Source organism: Homo sapiens, chromosome 2 (genome assembly GCF_000001405.40).
Source record: "Homo sapiens chromosome 2, GRCh38.p14 Primary Assembly".
Classification (NCBI taxonomy): Eukaryota; Metazoa; Chordata; class Mammalia; order Primates; family Hominidae; genus Homo; species Homo sapiens.
Genome location: NC_000002.12, coordinates 158616095 through 158636723, shown reverse-complemented (window position 1 = coordinate 158636723; position 20629 = coordinate 158616095). Strand labels below are relative to the sequence as shown.

Sequence of the window (20629 nt, the reverse complement as noted above, 5' to 3'; positions counted from 1 at the left end):
AAGAATACAGGGAAAAAAGATTTAAAAAATGAAGACAGATTCAGTAATCTGCAAAATAATAAAGTGATCCTATGTGTTTAATTCAAGTCCTAGAAGGAGAAAAGAGAGTTTGGGGCAGAAAAAAAAACTTAAAGAATTAATGGCTGAAAATTTCCCAATTTTGACAAAAACATCAACCTACATTCCAAGAATCTCAGTGAACCCTAAGCAGGTTAAATGCAAAGAAAATTATACTTAGGCTCACCAGAATAAAACAGCTGAAAGCTAGAGAAAAATCTGAAAAGCAGCCAAAGAAAAGACACATTACATAATGAGAAGAATGCACATGATGTCTGCCTTATCAACAGAAACAACGGAGATCTGAAGACAATGAATGACATCTTTTAAAATACAGAAAGAAAAAAATGCACACCTGTAAATCCTGAATTATATATCTAGCAAAAAAAAAATCCTTTAAAAAAACAAGTGAAATATTTTCAGATAAACTAAAGCTGAGAGAATTTGTTACAAGCAGAAATGCAAGACAAGAAAGGCTAAAGGAAGTTCTTTAGGCCAAAGGGAAATGAGTTGAGATGGAAACGTGAATACACAGGAAGTCTTTTACGTTACTCCTTTCAGAAGCATCATTGATGTTATTAATAAATATGGTTTCCAAGTAGACAACTATAAAAAAACTCACAGATTTCCTTTTATACAGTAAAGATCAATAACTTCCTCAGTCTTAAAGAGAATTTTTCAGGCCAACTGTAATGTAGCATTAATAATAAAGGCTTACAAGTGAATAAAACTTGTAGTGAATTACTTCAAATTGCTATTTTCAAAACTAAAAATTAACAGTTGTCATGAGCTTTTAATTTTGGTTTAAATATTCAAACTTCAAAGTCACCTGAATTCCAGTTTTAGCTAGAATAAATGCACCTACCAAATAATCACTTATTCACCTTACGAAATGCATTATCAGTAAAGTTTCACATAATCAAAGACAGCCATCAGTTTTATGCATTAGACTATGAAATTATCACACTATGAATAGCTGAGGTATATTATCATACATGAAGTCCTTGTTTATAGAGAATCAACTCACATTAGAGGTCAAAACTGAAGTCTTCAGGGACACATATTAAACTCAAAGTTCTCATCACATTTCACTGCCTTTCTAGGTAGCTATTATTTTCTCTTCAGGTCCAGCCAAGGGATGGTCTAAATTACCTACAATTCAAAACTCTTTTGGGAATTTCTGCATCTATTTGGGTGCCTTAGGTCTTTGTCATTTTGAGGATTTGAAAAAACAAAATCAGTAAGAGTATCTCTGACAAGCTGTAGGTGTTATTAGACAAGTTATTTTTGAAACTCCTTAAAAATGACAAAAAGGTGGCAAACCAGGAGTAGCAGAACCAAATGCATTTATATAGCTTAAAGAATTTCAGGAATAGAAGTGAATAAGTGAAGCGGTTTTAGTGAAGCAGTGGATTTCCCACTCAACTTTAAGGTATCTTTAGTCATTTTGTTTTAATGACCAAAACCTCACTCATCATTTTAATTCACATTCATTAAAACAAGTTGGTAGGCTGCTAAAAATGAATTGATAATTATAACAATTTTCCAGTGAAGCAACTATTTGTGGGCGAAGAGTGAATGAAATCTTGCATACATGCCTTAAAATAACACTAAAGCGCTTAAAATTTAGCAACAATTTCACTCTTTCAGAAATGAAAATTCTTTTAGTTTCAAAATATCTTTATTTCCTGAATATTTTAAATGGCTTTAAGGACAAGGTCAGTTTTTCAAAATCAATCAAGTATTAAATGACTCATATTATCTTAATAAAAATGCTGTCTACAGGGCCAAATAAAATCAGAAGGAGGAAACGTCTATGATTTGCCAAACACTTTTTGCTTATTAGATAGAATTTCTTATAAAGACTGTCTTCTCCTAAATGTCACAAATTGTTTTCAAAGGACCTGGTTAATAACAGCGTTATATATTGTTGACCACTATGATTGAAAACATGTAACACGGGTCTTTCTCTAGTTTGTAATAACCAAATCCATTTTTTGAAGCTGTTATCGAAGAAGTCGGTCAGGATAAGGGCAAAGGGTAAATTGATCTTTCAAAGCCTTGTTTAATTCCAAGAGGCTATTCCAGGTTGTTGTCTTGATGAAATATTTCAGTGATGAATGCTGCAGATATTCCCATGGATCTGTGCCTTCTCTAACTTATTATGAAAGGATGGAAAGAAGGAATCTATCTTTAAAATGAAATTAACCTCAATGACCTATATAGCTGGAATACAACTGGAAGTATTAATATATATGGAATTAATGATAGTATAATGATAGTATAATAGACTTAGCAACTTAAAAAAGTCAAAATGGAGGAACTGGCTGACTCCTGCAATACTGTAGCCTTCTAGAGACTCCTAACTGGTACTCGCCTGGGGTCCTTCTGAATGCTGTCTATTGATGGGGATCTTGTGGTGCCATCATCAGCCGGCACTGCATGCTGAAGCCTGTTATAATTGCACTCTTGCACTCGGTATTGTATAGGCCTGTAGGGCTCCGCGTAGGTAGCTGTTGTGTTCAGAGCATAATTATTTCTTTGGTATGTAAGGGTACTTCGTTGGCTGGATGTCCTTTGTAGATTTCCAATACCTACTAGAAAGTCAACATTTTGAAAAAGATTAGTATGTTCTCCATGAGATCACACTTTAATTAAAGGTAAAACATTTTTAATTTTAAGGACTATATTTTTTGGCAATTATATAAATCGCTTACTTTTAGATTTTAAAATTCTACCTTATTAGTGCTAAAAAGGGTACTTAAGTTTTTAATGTACATAAATATTTTGTTAATTTTTTAGCAAGAAACAGCAAAAGTGAAACTACAAATCTGCTTATATAGTATGTTCATTGAGGTTCAGTAACAAAACTGAGAGAAATATAAGAATCTTAGAGATAAATGATAAAATAGCAAAATTTATTAATTTCATTCTAGTGGTAAAAACAAGATATTTATTCAAATTTGTAAGTAATTAAAACCATCAAAATTTTAACACTTCGTGTACCCAGGTTACTTATTTTATTCTACAGTAGTCCATCCTTATCTTTTGGTTTTGCTTTCCATGGTTTCAGTTACCCGTGGTCAATTGTCCAAAAATATCAAATGGAAAATTCCAGAAACAAGTAATTCATAAGTTTTAAATTGCACACCATTCTGAGTAACATGATGAAATCTGTGCCATTCAGCTGTGATCCCACTGGGACGTGAATAATCCCTTTGTCCAGTGTACCCATGCTATAGATGCTACTAGTCTGTTAGTCACTTAGCAGCTGTCTTGACTATTAGATTTACTGTCTCAGTACTGCAGTGCTTGTGTTTAAACAACCCTTATTTTACTTAATTGTTCTATTTCATTCTTTGTTATTGTTGTTAATCTCTTACTGTGCCTGATTTATAAATTAAACTTTATCACATGAATGAATGTATAGGAAAACACATAGTATATACAGGGTTCAGTACCATCTGCCATTTCAGGCATCCACTGATGGTTTTGGAACGTATTCTCCATGGATATAGACAGACTATTATACATTTTATTTCTAGACCTGTGGATTGTAATAACACTGGAAAATCTACTTCACAAGAGGGAAAGAAGACTGATATATCAAATGATTCTACAGCTACTCCCCTAAATTACTGTATGATGCTATTACAAAGATACTCTACACTGTATTTAAAATGACTTTACTAATTATGTCAGTGGGTATCCCTCCAGTAACTGTGTACATATCTTCCTGCAATTAAAAAGATTTTAAACAATATCTATTTCTTAGTCTTATTAAAGGAATTCCTCAATTTACAGACATAAGGAAAAGCGAAATATTTCTTTATTAATGTCTATTAGAAATGGTACATTTTATTAGAAGATAAATCCCTCAGTGGATCAAACTGTCAGTTTCCTGCAAAGAACAAATTCAGATACAGTCTTCCCCACTCTGGTGTTCTAGAGTTGTACCTTTGAGGGGTTATTATTGCTACCTAGGGTTCATTTGTAAGCATGTTAATAAATTTGTGATACTTACTAAAAAAAAAAAAGTAGTCTTGAGACTCCATGAGCTAGCCGTGCAGCACAACCTGGCAGCTCACACCACCATGGGCTACAGCATCTGCTGTATGAGCCTTGATGGTATGGCATAAACATGAGGACTGGCGGTACAAGGGTGTGATGCTCCAGCTCCCTGCTTTTATAAATGTCGCTATTGAATCCTGTACCAGTTTGAGTCCATTGCAAGGGGTATCTATTTTACATTCTACATTTAACTATTCAGAGAACATCCAACATTAAAAAAGGAGTAATGCCAAATACACTTGGGCTTCATGCTTGCTAAATCAAAGATGGCCAAGTAACTCATGTATGGATTTTCTCCAAAAACTTGTTTGGCAAAAGAATTACAAAGAAATATTCCAACAAGGCTTTCCTTTTGATACTGAATATGCATCTAACCCGAGGAGAGTCAGATTTACAGTTTTACAAACTTATTCCTGAATTAACAGTATAATCACTATGTTCATTGATTAGAATGTACTAAGGTAAAAATATATCACCTATAAATAGGTACTAAATGAACCTGTTTTATTGCTTATTGATCTGCTGTCACAGCTGCTTATCTGACAACCAAATGGGCAACATGATTTCCTTCTAACAGGGAACCCAATCTCAATAAAACACTTCTACTGTGGGGCCTATGAAATCAGGAAACCAGTAAACAGAGTTGATGCCCACCTGAACCTGTGCGATACAACGCCGTCTGCGATCCTTGGAGCTCCACAGTTCCATGGTTTGGGCTGCGGTACACTGGGCTGTAATAGGTCCTCCCCTCATATATAGGAGTAATGTGCAAGTCGGGAGACACGGCAGAACGAAGGTCTTGCCCAAGCTGACTATGCTGACTAGCATAGGAACTCCGTAAGCCTAGAGGCACAAAAATTACATCGTTAAGAACTGAGACAATCACAGTGAGGTTAAAAACATAAACCCTAATTAAATTCCTAACCCCTGTAATCCCAGCACTTTGGGAGACAGAGGTGGGAGAATGGCTTGAGCCCAGGAATTTGAGACCAGTCTGGGAACAGAGTGAGACCCCATCTCTACAAAAAATAATTAAAAAAAAAAATTAGTTGGGTGTGGTGGTGTATGTCTGTGATCCCAGCTACTCAGGAGTCTGAAACTGGAAGATTGCTTGAACCCAGAATGTCGAGGCTGCAGTGAGCCATGATCACACCACTGCACTCCAGCCTGGGTGACCAGGTGAGGCCCTGTCTCAAAATAAATAAATACATATATACATACATAGATATATACTAAGAAAATCCTAACCAATAGGACCAAGTGTTAAGTCTAAACACTAAAACTAGTAAGTTTTACCAAAGAGAAATGCCACACGTGAAAAGTACTGCATATATATATTTTAAATACAACTTTCTCTGCCGGGCGCGGTGGTTCACGCCTGTAATCCCAGCACTTTGGGAAGCCGAGGAGGGTGGATCACGAGGTCAGGAGATCGAGATCAACCTGGCTAACACGGTGAAACCCCGTCTCTACTAAAAATACAAAAAAAAATTAGCCGGGCGTGGTGGCGGGAGCCTATAGTCCCAGCTACTCGGGAGGCTGAGGCAGGAGAATGGCGTGAACCCGGAAGGCGGAGCTTGCAGTGAGCCAAGATTGCGCCACTGCACTCCAACCTGGGCAACAGAGCAAGACGCCGTCTCAAAAACAAACAAACAAACAAACAAACAAAAACACTTTCTCTTGGCAGCAGGATGAAAGTAGGTTTTCTAAGAAAAATAACAAAAAATTAAATGATTTGATACACTGAGATTCATCCTCCAGTAAGCTATTTTATGATGCTGATCAAACAGAGAATGACTTATTATTATATCATTTTCACTTTAAAAGCTTTATATGAGCAGTGGTTCATGCTGCTCTCTTCCTATCCTGCGGACCTGCCAGTCTCATTCAGTGGACAATCAGCTTCTCTCTGGGCACAAAGCCCACCATCTCGCACCTCTTTGAATCCCAACATCTAAGAGAACGCCTATATAATGTACTTGGTAAAGGCTGATGTTTAAAAGCTGTTTTGAAATGTCAATTAACTCACATATAATTTTTACAGAAAAACACTGGAAGTTTTGTGCTATAAGTTTTGTAATATTATCAGTGAACTAACATTATTATGAAATACTATTTATCATTGTTTTTCCTTTCTTTTAAAAAAAATCAAACCCAAAAACTGTTTTTATAAGAACTCACATACCAGATTCTTGTTTACCTTCTTTCTAGTATAAAGAAAAAGTACAAAGTTAGTAGTACATGAACCTTAAATCATTTTAAATATTTTGATTCAAACTGCTAATAACTAATGTTTACACATGGGACTCATGATAAAAAGGTATACTTCAAACCCAAACATTTCAATTTCTTAAAAAGACTGAATATTTTCTATATTATGATGCTCAGAAGTTTGTGACTTCCATTATTGGTAAGTAAAATCTGTCACTTGTAAAAATATCAATTAAGGGTATATCCCAAATATAAGAGAAAGGACAAACATATCTGAAGCCAGTCAGCATATATTTGCTTTTAAAAAAATAGCAAATCATTAACAAAGTAAGTAATTATAAAAAGGTAAGATTGGCCAGGCACGGTGGCGCATGCCTGTAATTCCAGCACTTTGGGAGGCTGAGGCACGTAGATCACGAGGTCAGGAGTTCAAGACAAGCCTGGCCAAGGTGGTGAAACCCCGACTCTACTAAAAATCCAAAAATTAGCTGGGCATGGTGGCAGGCGCCTGTAATCCCAGCTGAGGCTGGGCAGAGAATTGCTTGAACCTGGGAGGCTGAGGCACAGAACTGCTTCAATCTGGGGGCGGGAGGTTGCAGTGAGCCGAGATCGCGCCACTGCACGCCAGCCTGGGCAACAGAGACAGAGTCTGTCTCAAAAAAAAAAAGATTGCTCCCATCCTGTTAGTTCAGTTAATCAAATCACAACTAAAAGCAAATGGACCTGAATAAGAGTGCTAATTACATGTTGGTTAGTGAGGAGAGGCAAGAAAGTTAACACATGCATAAAGCTTCTAAAGTGAATGATTATTACCTACCCTGGACAGCAATGTGACATGGAAAGAAACTAAACGAATCAATGTGGGTTTTAGCTACTGGCTCCCCTCTTGCTATAACGAAGACCACAGGTTTATACAATCTTATAACTGGGAGATTATCCAGCCAAACCTCATTTCAAAACCGAGGAAACAGAGTCCAAAAGGAAATGTGATTCGCCCCCATTAGAGAGCTACTTCCTTGCCGAGCTGACAGGAAAGCACAGGTCAGTGTTCTGTCATTATACACCCAATACTGGACACAGCTATCCCTCATGGAGCAACGGCACATGGTGAGGAAAAGTCTGAACTCCACAGAGCCCTCCACAAACACCAGGTTAAAGAGGAAGGTAAGCACACCAAGGAGGGGGCCATGGAAACCAACTTTAAAGATGACACTGTGATTGCTATTGCAAAATTCCCTTTTGAGGATTTCAGCTTTTTAGGCACTGGCCAATTTCTCATTATTATTATCATTTTTAGCAGAGTCTAAGCTCTATTTCTTTATGGAGCCCATGAATACCTTAGACAAAAGTGCACAGTTTTTGTTAACAGTGACATAAAGCAGACAGGTGAATGTACCTAGTCCTCGATAATCTTATCATTATGAGGTGCTATTGTAACACCCAACAGAGCCACAGACACTCACGACTCAGTGCAAGACACTGAGGATCATTTACACTTGGACAGAGCCAAGCCGAAGACTGGATGCTTCTGACATCGGTTGAGTCCTCATGTTCCCACTACTGCACAGGGATGTGAAATAAGACAAAGCATTCTGCACCACGATTACAATGTTATATTCTCATTTTACAAGTATCTGGCTGGATTCGTCACTGGAATCCATGCAATCTGAAAGGTTTTGTAAGCACAGACTATGATTTCATGAGAAAGGTAACAAAATGAGCTTTTTGCATTTAGAAATATAAAAAATAACCAGCAGATGTTCACTCGTTATAGGATCATTAGTAAATTGGAATTACTATTATGTGATAGGCTATAATGGGAAATAAAAGACTTAGAACTTTAGTGGGATGTAGCACTTTCTTGATATTAAGAATCCTTCTGAATGACATAATAAATAGTAGTAAACTATTTTTGTTTACCCGCTCGTGTGTTTAAAAACACAAGTACACAGTCCTATAGATTAGCATTTTAAAAAATTACAGTAAATAGCCTCTGTAGATTAAGTAAAATGAATATGTGTAGACAGCTCACTATAATTTACTATTATTGAAACTGGAATTCAAATAATTATGTTCTATAATTGGTATTAGAAATAATTTTTTCAGGGCTGGGTGTGGTGGCTCACACCCGTAATCCCAGCACTTTGGGAGGCTGAGGCGGGCAGATCACGAGGTCAAGAGATCGAGAACATCCTGGCCAACATGGTGAAAACCCGTCTCTACTAAAAATACAAAAATTAGCCGTGCATGGTGGCAGGCGCCTGTAGTCCCAGCTACTCGGGAGGCTGAGGCAGAAGAATCGCTTGAACCCGGGAGGCGGAAGTTGCAGTGAGCCGAGAGCGTGCCACTGTACTCCAGCCTGGTGACAGAGCGAAACTCCGTCTCAAAAAAAAATAAAAAAATAAAAATAAATAAAAATAAATAAAAAATAATTTTTTCAGAAGCATTTCCACTGATTAATTTTTAATAACATTACTTCCCCTTCCAAATAATGGAAAACACTGATACGCCACTGCATTATTTATCCAACCAATACTTTCTATTTGCAATTCCACAAACATATTAGTTTAGCTATTATTACGGTGATTCCATGTGATTAAAAATATTTATATTTATGGCATTAGAAATAAACATAAATTTATCTTTCAAAGATCAATTCTTTATCTCCTCAAAAGTTTTCTTTACATGCCATGATTATTCTGAAATGAACATTTTAGAGTATATATATATATATTTCTGTAGTTTGTATCATTTAAATTATGATCATCAAATACCCAAGTCCCTGAATGTAGTACAAAACATTGCTTATCAATTAGCAGGCTATTAGTCCTTTGAAATCAAGAACACTTTGCTTCTTGAGAACACTGCAGTATTTCTAGAAAAAAATCACTGAGAGGCTGGGCCTAAAAAATAGACATTATATATATTTTCCCCCCAAGACATAAAGTCTAATTTTACCTGCATTGTCAGAGAAACAGACTGTTTAAACCAGAGGAAATGAGTCCTCTTAGGGTTAAATATGGAGACAATAATTTATATGCTGGCTTCCTTCCTCCAGTCTCCTCTCTACTCTCTTACAAGCAGAGATTTCTACATAGCTGTTCTATACACACGGGGGAATATGGAAGTCCTCAGAACTATTTATTTTCTAAGATTTCCTTGGGAGGTAGAATTTCATAAATGATTCCTACATCATTTTGCTGCATACTTTTCAGAGGCATTTCAGAAAATATCTAAGTCAAGCACACTTCTTGGATAGATGAATGAAAAAGAGGTGGTTTCTCCACTAAGAATTTCTTTGAGCTCAAAAATCAAGTTCAATATAAATTCTCCAGGCAAAATTATTCAATCACAAAAATCTCAAAAAGGCTTAAATTTTCTTAGAAGACATAAAAAAGATACTAATTTTACTATGTAAGAATGTTAAACAGTTTTGTAAATTAAAACCAAAATGAAATAAAAAGAAGTGACAAAATGGAAAAAATACTTGAGAAGCATATTACGAGGTGCTAGCTTATCTCTAGTAAAAAAAAGCTTTCACGAATTATAAAAATAGACAAAAGAACTTGTAGTTTCACAAAATGAAATAAAGTCGTTGATGAACAGATTAAATCTTCAACCTCAGTCATAACTCAATAAAAGCCCTTAAAAACAATGAGGTACAGCTTTTTACCTATCAGATTGGCAAAGATGAAAAACTTGGAATATGCAGCACTAGTGCAGTGTAGACAAGGTATAGACAAACAGGCACTCAAACTACTGGCAGAAATATAAATCCGTGTGTAACCTTCTTAGAAGGCAATTCTACGTAATATCTCTCAAAGTAAAAATACACATATATTTTGATGCAGCAATTCTACTGGATCCCAGTTACCCTAGTACTTATGTGAAATATGCAGGGAGAACAATGTATGTACTACATCATCTCTAACAGCTAAACATAACAAACAACCTAACTGTCCATTAGGAGGAAAATGCAAATAAATTATGATATATCTATAAAAAATGGGTCCCATGCATCTATTAAGAATGAGGTAGAGCTCTTAAGACATAGTTAGTGAAAAGAACAAAGTATAGAAGATCTATATGATAGAATTCCATCAATAGAAAACACAATGTGTGTGCAGATTTGCATGGATTGCATATATTTGTAAATGCAAAGAAACATTCTGAAAGCCACATCAACTGTGATGGGACTGGGTGAGGGTAAAAGGCTTTCACTTATTTCAATATTTTCCCATATAGTTTTAATTTTTACCATTCTGTATATGTTACTTTTAAAATATAATTTAAAACACTAAAGTTAAATTGCATTTTATTTAAAATAACCAAATCTTTACACCATGTAGGAAACCCTCCACGAAAAACCCTGAAGTTGGAACAGCTGTATTAGGGACCCGGTGTCTTTCTGCTTTAATAGGAGTGGCATGTAAAAGTGATTCATAAGCGCTTTGTGCATTTACCGTTAAAATGCCAAAATCAAGTAGGGGATAAAATTCATAGTCTAGTCTATATTACCAAAGCATTTCTAAAGAAAAAATTTAAACATTTAAACAGATATTCTGATACCACCTTTTAACATAACTTTAGGGTATGTTTAGGGGTAGGCCTGGCTGGTAAAAAATATTTCATTAAAAAAAATTAGTCAACTGCTTAGAATTGCAACTAATACTTATGAAATGCAAAAAAAGCACATTTTAAACCCTAATATTTAGTGGGAAAATATTACAAAAGAGTTATATCCATTGCAAAAGGATTCTATTGATATAAATGTATATAATTTCATGTATTAAGAATTACAGAACCTGAAAGACAAGTTAACCTTAAGTTTATAGTTTAAAATCTGAGATTAAAAACACGAATGAGCCTTTTCCACCTTTTCATTCTTTGTTTCAACTTAAGTTACACAGAAGATTTCCTCACTGGGTTTTATGTAGCACTGTCACCTTGTACGCACCTGTCAGGCTGTCTGGCCTGGGTGGAACCATCCTCTCATAAATGTCATACTGCTGCTGTCCGAATTGCTCCATGTCATGAACAGTCCTTTGCAGTGAAGGTCCCAGATGCTGTGGTACGGCGGTCATCCCTGAGCGTTTGGGGGACGACGACCCCACCTGGCCTTGGGATGGGGAAGCTACTCGAGTCTGTGCATCCGTCAGGGTCAGTGGGGACCCCACTCTGGCGGTGGTTTGGTATTGAGGGGTTGGTCCGTTGGGATTGGAGGTCTGCCGGGAGGTGACTGACCCAATCCGCCGTATAGCTGTTGGGGAGGCGGGTCTCTGTGAGTACGGAGAGGCTGCCCGTGCAGCAGGTAATGTGGTGGAGGAATATGCACTGGGGTTCAGAGGTCGGGGGTCGGTCACTGACGGAGAGCCAAATCCACTACCCAGAGAAGTTCTCAGAGACCCCCTTGAAGGAGACACGCCTGTGCTGATAACATAAGAAGGAGACTGTGCTCTAGATGGAACTGAACTAACTCTTCTCATGGCCCGATTGGCTACTGATGGCTGATGAAAGGGGGGGAAAAAAGAGAATGGGTTTATCCAGGGTTTTGTGTTCATTGCCATTACAAAAGAAATACACATAGCTCACTACAGAATGTGAATCCACTATTTTAGGCATCTAAGATTCTTTTCCTTTTTATGCTTTGAGCCAGACATTAATTTTTCCTCACGGTGCTTTAGTTGTTTTAGTTTTTTTTTTTTTTTTTGGTGGTTTAAACCAAATGCTAAAATTAACCTGTAAAAAGAGATCTGAAGACATTTAATACTCCTTTTTTATCTTTACATTTTTAACTATTGCCTATGCATTTTTCACAGCACATAAAATGTTTTATTCTAAGTGTTACATGTAATTCATGAGCGTGAAGGGGCACCAGAACAATGTACTTACTTCATTCCCTATGAAGCAAAGTTTGGCCAAGGCAATGCATTTATGTAAAACAAAAATTTGAATATAATTTGAATATATCAGTCTAAATGTAGCTAGTGGAATATTTATCATTGTTTTTCTTTATGGGTTGGTCCCATTAACAAAAGGAACATGTTCTTTCATTGTGGAATAAATGAACATTTGGATCAAGTGTGGGTCTGGCGCTCTCCACTGTGAATTTACTTCGGGGAACAGCTTGGCTACACAGGTGCTCTAGGCAAATTTGTTGATTCCTTTAGATCAAGCATAGCTTCTCACTTTAGCCATTTCTTTTTACCTCTTCTGATCTATGAGTTCTTAGCTTTAATTGGTGGATTTAAAGAGATGCAAAAAAAAGGCACCCCCAAATCTATTCCAGCAGGAGGAATGGTCAAAGCCTCTTTTGGGTTCTTGGCCTAGACAGCTGGAAAAGACCAGGATGGAAAGTGAACATTTCTGCCATTGCTGATCCTACTCTGAATCTGTTGATTCCTGCAGTTACAGCAGGTGCTGGACACTGTTTTTCATGCTGTGCAACAATAAAAAGGAATGGTTAGGCTGGAGAAGGGGCCCAAGGGAAACATGTATGGGAAAAAGGAGAGCCAACTGAGAAATAAAGACATTAGGGATCCAGGTTAGAAGACTAGGACCAGGCTGCTCTGTTACCTCCTTAGTGGCTGCTAGAGTCTAGTTGTCATCAACCCACATCCACTTTTAGGTGGGGAGGTAAGGAAAGAAGCAGGGATCAGATGAGGGCTTTGTATACCCTTAGGGGTCATATGAGGATGTCTGCTCTGCCTCCAGGTGTCGCATGCAACTGGGCTGGCTGAAACACTTGCAGTGAGAACTCACTGTGTGTTCAAGTTCAACAATTTTGGGAAGGCAATAGCAGGGGAGAAGACATGGGGAGGAAAGAGGATGGTAAACAACAAGGCAAAAAAGATGGGGTTTAAAAATTAGTAGACAGCTGGAAAGTTAACAAGCATGATTGGGGCTGGGTGTGGTGGCTGACACCTATAATCCCTACACATTGGGAGACTGAGGAGGGAGGATTGCTTGAGGCCAGGAGCTTGACACCAGCCAGGGCAACATAGTGAGGCCCAGCCTCTACAAAAAACAAACAAACAAAAAAATTAGCTGGGCATGGTGGCATGTGCCTGCAGTCTTAGCTACTCCAGGAGGCTGAGTCAGGAAAATCGCTTGAGCCCAGGGGATTGAGACTATAGTGAGCTATGATTTTGCCATATTGTACTCCAGCCTGGGTGACAGAGTGAGACCTTGTCTCTATTAATTAAGAACAACAACAAAAAAAGCATGATTGGGTGGTAATAGTGGTAACAAAATGCAAAGAAAATCCCACATGACTTGCAACTACCAAAATGAAGTGATAAGTTGGTCCAGACAACTAGAAAATGTGTTGCCTAGACTACATGCAAATTAAGTCTCAGACACCCCCTTGCAAACAATTCTTTAGCTCTAGTGAGAAAATCAACTTACTCTTAAAGAAAAAAGTGTTTACATGATCATTACTAAGGGCAATAAAATTTATATAGATATAAGGTAACTGCTGTTGAAAAGTGTGATTTCAGACCTGCTGACACAGAAATTCACCTAAGCGGATGAACTCCCATTAGCATTTAGTCCAGAGCTTCTCAAACTTTTCCACCAAAGCATCCCCAACAGCAAAAGAATAAATATATAATCTGAGGACTTGGGGTGCAGCCTGAAGTTGCTTGCCACATGCACAAGATTTCCCATTTTAGCTTGAAAAATTCATATGTTATATTTGTGTTTAATACAAACATGTTTTAAATGACTCTGAAATTTCTCCTGAATTGCTGAGCAAAAGTGCCAAAGTTGTATTATGTTTCTCTGTGGGCGTTGGGAACCGTGACCCATTGCTGTGTACCTGTAGAGCTTCCTGTATTGCAGTAGAAGCAGCACAGTGTCCTCCTAACTTATTTGATTATCTTGCTACTTTTCAGCTCTAAAGAAAGCACTGGGGTTTTGGGGTCCTGGCACAGATAGTTAGCCTCACTGGTTACCACCATGCAGGACTCCTATTGCCTCTCTGAATCCTGGGACATGCTGGTGGACTGATGTGAATACAGTGGTAATGAGAAAGGAGCTGAAGAGTTTTTATAAATATACATGCAATATATATTTTTTGCTATCAAGTTAGAGAACCCTAACTTAACAGAATGGATATGTTTCTATACAATAACTTTCTTTAAGCAGGAATAGCTGTATTCTATCTAGTAAAAGAAAAGAAATGTAGTTTTAGAGAATAATTCCAGTGATGATGGTAATAACCTTTGGTTAGAATGGGCAAATCCCATTTTATGCAGGTGTGGGTATAGCACCCTGCCCTCTAGAGCTTTTTATAGCATATTTTAGCCCTAGTATTTTTAGGAACTCATAACCCCTCAGGGACCAAAACATTCCATTCAACTCTCTTACATTCCCCTTAGACTCTTCTCCTCATGCCAAACTTGTTGTTTCCAGAAGAATTACTCTACTGTATCCAGGAACTCATCAGAATTCATCAATGGGAGCTAACTCATAGAAACAAACATATTTAACATTGTATCTCAAATAGAATAAAATGATTTTACTATTTTATCCATTCTATAAAAATTGTACACATTTATTTCTAATAAGAAATACCTATAACAGATATTCAACTAGGAGTGTATTTCTTTTTTTTTCCTTTTTTTTTTTTTTGTTTTGAGACGGAGTCTCGCTCTGTCGCCCAGGCTGGAGTGCAGTGGTGCGATCTCGGCTCACTGCAAGCTCTGCCTCCTGGGCTCAAGTGATTCTCCTGCCTCAGCCTCCCGAGTTGCTGAGATTACAGGCGCCCGCCACCACGCCCGGCTAATTTTTGTATTTTTAGTAGAGACGGGGTTTCGCCATGTTAGGCAGGCTGGTCTTGAACTCCTGACCTCAGGTGATCCACCCGCCTCGGCCTCCCAAAATGCTGGGATTACAGGCATGAGCCACTGTGCCCGGCCGGAAGGTATTTCTTTGCAGAGATCTTGATGCGTTTGGCTTACCTGAACCAGTGTTTGTCCTTCAGCTCTTGAATTCCTCACCACATGGTTGTTAGTTGATCCTATGAATGAATGCTGCTGTCTGTTGTCTGCCTTGCTCACGTTCTGGCTGTTGTGGAAACTCCCTGCTTCCTGGTATCCACTGTCGGAATAAGAATTCATTTGTGTTGAACTTCTTGAGTTACCCAATGATCCTGTAAGAATGAAACCAAGAAATATCTTTATTATACACACTTCTGACACTCGCTTTCAAGAATAAAATCTTAAAAGCAAATCCAGTACTTAAAAGATAACACAACAGACCCTCACTTTCATGGAGAGATGTCTGTTCTGGTGAATAGAGGGTTCCTTGTTCTGGCTCTGTCCTGATGAGATAGTTGTTGGGCTGGACAGCGTCAGAAACTCTAGGTTTGCTTACACCAGTATTTGGCACGTCTGTAACAAGAAAAGTTTAATCAGCTAAATATAATAACATTACATAAAAACTTGCTAAAAAAGGTTCAGATGTTTGTCAACAGCATCTTAGAATCTATATGCTAATACAAGGCTATTATTTTCAGCTTACACAGCACATCTGACTCTTAACTATATGAATGTGTTCCATATACTTATACTTCATTAATATATTTTGCTGAATTTCATGAATGTTGTTTGTTGTGATTGTAAGTCTCAATATTAAATCAAAATCTGAAAACTGATCCTGTTCCTCTTGGAAAACTGACCTCTCAGACACCTTCCTCCAAGGGATTAAAAGACTGAGAATGGAGACCAAGTATTTCAAGAAGGGTCCTCCATCTTCCAAACAATTAAAAATGAAAACTTACACAACGTTCATATTATTGAGCTTGGTGATGAAGCCTCTGAAGGTAGAGCACATTTTATGTTATATTTCATGTCACTTACAGTCAAAGGAACTCTATACAAAGTTTTAGAATTGCAAGCAATGAAAATTTTCTTGTTCACCTGCTTATTTTATTCCTTTAGCCTTTTTTAAAGGAATATAGGCAAGTCTAACCTAACCATTGTTTCTTCCAGCCAAACTCATCTCTTCCATTATCTGCTTTAATTTAACAGTACCATTTGCCATCCTGAACTTGAAAAAAACAAACCCCATTCAAACTTCTGTTTTTTATGCCGTAAACTTAGGTGGTGTAGATCATGCTTCCTTTTCCCAATTCGATTCCCGTATGTCCTTCTTTCTCTAATATCTTCAAAATGTATTTTCCCATTTTCTGATGGACTTCAATACAAGCCATTCCTTCCTTGCATTTAACCCTTATATTATTAACAAACTTTCTTTCAGAAATGCTACTTCACTCTCACTTCAAAGATAATTAAGTTCTTATCACATTCTGAGTTTAACATACAATCCTAAGGATTTAAATGTCTACCTCCTTTCCTCCCTCCCTGTCTCCCTCTGGGCCCTATTACATGCCAGGCCCTATGCAGTTATGAGAGAAGGTAAGGGGTGTGTGTGTGCGTGTGTGTGTGTGTCTGGGGGAATGGAGCTTAGGAAAATCTTCCTAAAGGAAGTAACATCTAAGTAGCATCCATTTACCACAGGAGGCCAGCCTTCTCTTTCTGTATAGCGCTTATCACCATTTCTCCCCACTAGAATATAAGCTCCACGAGGACAGACAGACTTTTATCTGGTTTGTTATATCCTCAGTGTCTAGGATGGTGCAGAGTACTCAGTAGGTGCTCAGTAAATATTTGTTGAACAAGCAAATTCCCAGTAACAACAGCAGCTTCCTTTTACTGAGTGCTGACTCATGCCTGGCATTGCATTGTGGCTTTACCTTACTGTGTTCAATGAAGTTTGGCTATGTAAAGCAAACTTCTTAGGGACTGCTGATTAAGCTGCTTTAGAAGGTGAATACAAGGTTTAAGGGAGAAGTGGGAAATCCCACTGCATTCTAAACCTTTAACTTGATGTCAGATTCAATTCAAGGTTTTGTTTCCTAGCCTCTGGAAAGATTAGCTGACATTCTTAGTATAGGTTTTTACCGACCTGTCTCCTGTTATATTATTTGACAGAATGCTTCTGTATGGTAGAATTCTGTGACAGTTCTGATTGCTTCAGTTTGGAATTTCAACAAAGATTAAAGATTGTATATGGTTTCCCTGGTACACGTTGAAACATGAGCTGAGTCACTGTCAGGCTGACAATACCAGAAAGTGCTCTGCTTTACTTGTACATCTTCTATCATGAGTTTTCCAGAGTTCTAAACATTCTTATACAGTAATTCTCAAAGGAGTTTTGCTAAGGACTAAGTAAAATACCAAGGAATTGGAATAGCTGGGAATAGCTGCACAGGTGCTGGCCTGAAATCAGAGCTATGCAGCAGTCAACCTTTGTTCCATCAGGGACGGAAACCCTGGGAAAGCAAATACGAACTAGCAAGAAACTACAGATAAAAAGTACCACTGTGGTAGCCTCAAGGCTTCACATACATGGAAAAATGTTCTGTCTTGGAAAAGAAAAAGATGTTCAGATAGTTCTCAGCTTTACTTAAATATAAGGTAAAATCTAGGACACCAATATATTAAAGCTTTTGGCTTAGAAACACTAGGTGGCATGTAGTGTCAGGGTCTCAACATTTTTCACCATGGAAACCAAAACCATTAGAATTTTATGTAAGCTGCCCACCCACTTTTTAAAAAAAGCTATTCAGAGCTTAAAAAAAAAACAGAAAAAGAGAAACATACCCTAAAAATTGTAGCTCAGAAATTGTGTCTTTTCACTCAATGAAACATATTCTCAGAAACCATGTAACAATCTTGCTCATTTAAACTCTTCCTTATGAGAAGCTATTTAAAATAAATAACCTTAGAGAAAGCACAAATCATGAGATATGTGATTCCATACTGGTTGCCCTAATAAAACTTCACGAAATTAGTATCTCAAACAATACAAAATTATTCCAAAAGTAATATGACAGCCATATTCCTTTTAAATATTATGACCTGTGTTTCATATATTTTTTAATGCAACGCCCTAGAAAACAGAATCTAGAAAAGGACACTGAGATGCTAACTAGAACACTAAAATACAAAATTCTCAGGTACCCAGGATCTAATTTGAAAATCTAAGTAACTGGGTTTAAAGGATAGGACTTAGGTTTTGTGACCTATCTTTAAGTAAATATAAAACTAAGAGTTAATAAAAGATTTATTTAATATGAACTTTAGTATAAAGCAATCAACTTCTATTCTATAAATAAGGTCTTCAGTTATTTTTTCTTTTTTTTGAGACGGAGTCTCTACAGGCTGGAATGCAGTGGCATGATCTTGGCTCACTGCAATCTCTGCCTCCTGGGCTCAAGTGATTCTCGTGCCTCAGCCTCCTGAGTAGCTGGGATTACAGATGTGTTCCACCATGCCTGGCTAATTTCTGTATTTTTAGTAAAGATGGGGTTTCACCACGTTGGCCAGGCTGGCCTCAAACTCCTGACCCTAAGTGATCTGCCCATCTTGGCCTCCCAAAGTGCTGGGATTACAGGCGTGAGCCATTGTGCTCGGCCATTCAGTTATTTTTCTGTTTCCTTAGTAGAGCCCAATGATAATGAAGAATAGCTGCAGAGATCAAAGTATCCTGAAATCTATTCTGATTTATGAAAAGAAATTTAAATGGTTTTCAAAATAGTTTTACTATTTTCTTTGAAAACTTGTGATCCACAAATTATCTATATACATGCATAAACCTATATATGCACAGACATCATATCTCAGGTAAACAGAAGACACATCTTCTAATTTTACTGGATAAAGTATTCCTCACTGTAGTATGGTAAGGTTCACATTTACCAATTATGTATTATTTAAACAATCTTACTTTAAGATGAATGAATTTTAAAAACCTCTGCTATGTGGAATGAAAGATACTAGTCAAATTCACTAGAGAAGAGGTATATAGTGTGCAAATAACCATTTCATGATGAATGCTGTAACCTATAATTAAATAGTTGGAATATTAAAATTTAGCACAATTAGCATAAGAAATCAAGAGACATTTTTATAAGTAAAAATGGCAAACAGCATGTGAATGTTACTTCTTTAATCAGTGTACTGAAGAACATGTGTTGGTTTAAAAAAAAAAAATTCACAAACATGTTTTCTGGGACACCAGAAATATACTATGGGGAACTTTCAAACATCAAATTAGCATCTTCGAAAATGTATGTCTAAAAATACAGAAATTGAACAAGCTTCAAGGTAGAATGAAATCTCCATTTGTGCCTAAGACTGCAAAATTATTGGAATCATGGACTTTCTTGTCTTATTACATTTCATTTGAGTGCTCTAATATTTAAAACTATGTAATTAGAAAAAGTGTTACATTGCATCTATAGAAAATACTAGTGGGTAAGGGACAATAACGCTGTAGGGCTATGAAAATCTGGTATATTATCCACCTCATTAAGCTCATGGTAAAAGATGGAATACAAAGTGAGATATTTTATCTTTTTTATAATGTACATCCCCAAATATACAGTGTGTGCATGAAGATATGCTTAGTAAAAGAGTCTAAGGCCTCTTTAATGAACCTGAAATTATTAAAATGGTTCTGCTTTGTTAGTCTATGTCTTGCTGTACGAAACAGGGTCTGTAGTGTGTGTAAAATCACCATGGAAACAGGAACCCAGAGATCAGTAAGGAGATTTTTAGTATAGACAACCCTGTGACTAGTCTTTCATAGTCCAGCACACTGGAACCTCATGACAGGTTCTCCTTGTTTGAGTCTGTTCTGAGTTGCTATGGTGTTTAGGGGTTTGCCCTTACATAAAAGACAGTGTGGTGTGAGTTTTGGCAGGACTCTTGGGACAGCAATAGCACCCGAGGTTAAGGCAGATGATACTCTTCCTTGACGGTTTCTTCCAACTCTCTGGCTTGTGAGCTGAGGTTAGGCTGTCATACCCAGAGGGCAACATTTTGTGGAAAAAATGAGTAGAAACTGTTGTGTTACATGGACTCAACTTCCTCTCTGGTCATGGGGCTCTCCTTTCCTGTAGGACCACAGGCTTACGAAGGAGTCTACTTTCCACAGAGGTGCAGAAATTGTCCAGTGCCTCCTACGGCAAAAAAGCAAAGCCAAATTCTGGAAGAGAACATAGGTGGTGGCACCAAAAAGATTTCTCCTCTTTAGTACCTTCTGTGACATACAAGATTTATTTCTATAGCAGGTATGCTTATCATCAGAGGGAATGAGGTCACTGGGAAACGTTGTTTCAGAGTGAGAAATGTTGTTTCAGGGTGACGGAAACATGAAGCACCAATAGTATTCCTTCCTCCACAGGAGAAAATACAAGTTGACAGATATTTTAAGAATA

General features: G+C 37.3%; 1 protein-coding gene across 14 annotated transcripts in view, besides 1 other annotated feature; it reads right to left on the bottom strand.

The window, feature by feature from the left end:
• PKP4 (plakophilin 4) overlaps positions 1-20629 on the bottom strand; it is a 224478-nt gene that overhangs the window by 44706 nt on the left and 159143 nt on the right. For 5 of the 14 annotated variants that reach the window (NM_001377220.1, NM_001304969.3, NM_001377226.1 and 2 more), the window contains 5 exons: positions 15603-15734; positions 15303-15493; positions 11297-11846; positions 4783-4971; positions 2435-2651 (listed from right to left, as the gene is read on the bottom strand). In NM_001377220.1, coding sequence (NP_001364149.1) covers positions 2435-2651; positions 4783-4971; positions 11297-11846; positions 15303-15493; positions 15603-15734 — 1279 coding nt within the window. Of the gene's footprint in view, positions 1-2434; positions 2655-4782; positions 4972-11296; positions 11847-15302; positions 15494-15602; positions 15735-20629 lie in introns of all 14 variants that reach the window. The other 9 variants (NM_003628.6, NM_001005476.4, NM_001377225.1 and 6 more) reach the window with 4 other exon arrangements.
• Positions 16873-17167: an enhancer, noted in NCBI's record as "tiled region #6347; HepG2 Activating DNase unmatched - State 14:Gen5'". NCBI's record gives its function as "activates a minimal TATA promoter and a strong SV40 promoter by Sharpr-MPRA in HepG2 cells {active_cell/tissue: HepG2}" and the evidence as "EXISTENCE:reporter gene assay evidence [ECO:0000049][PMID:27701403]".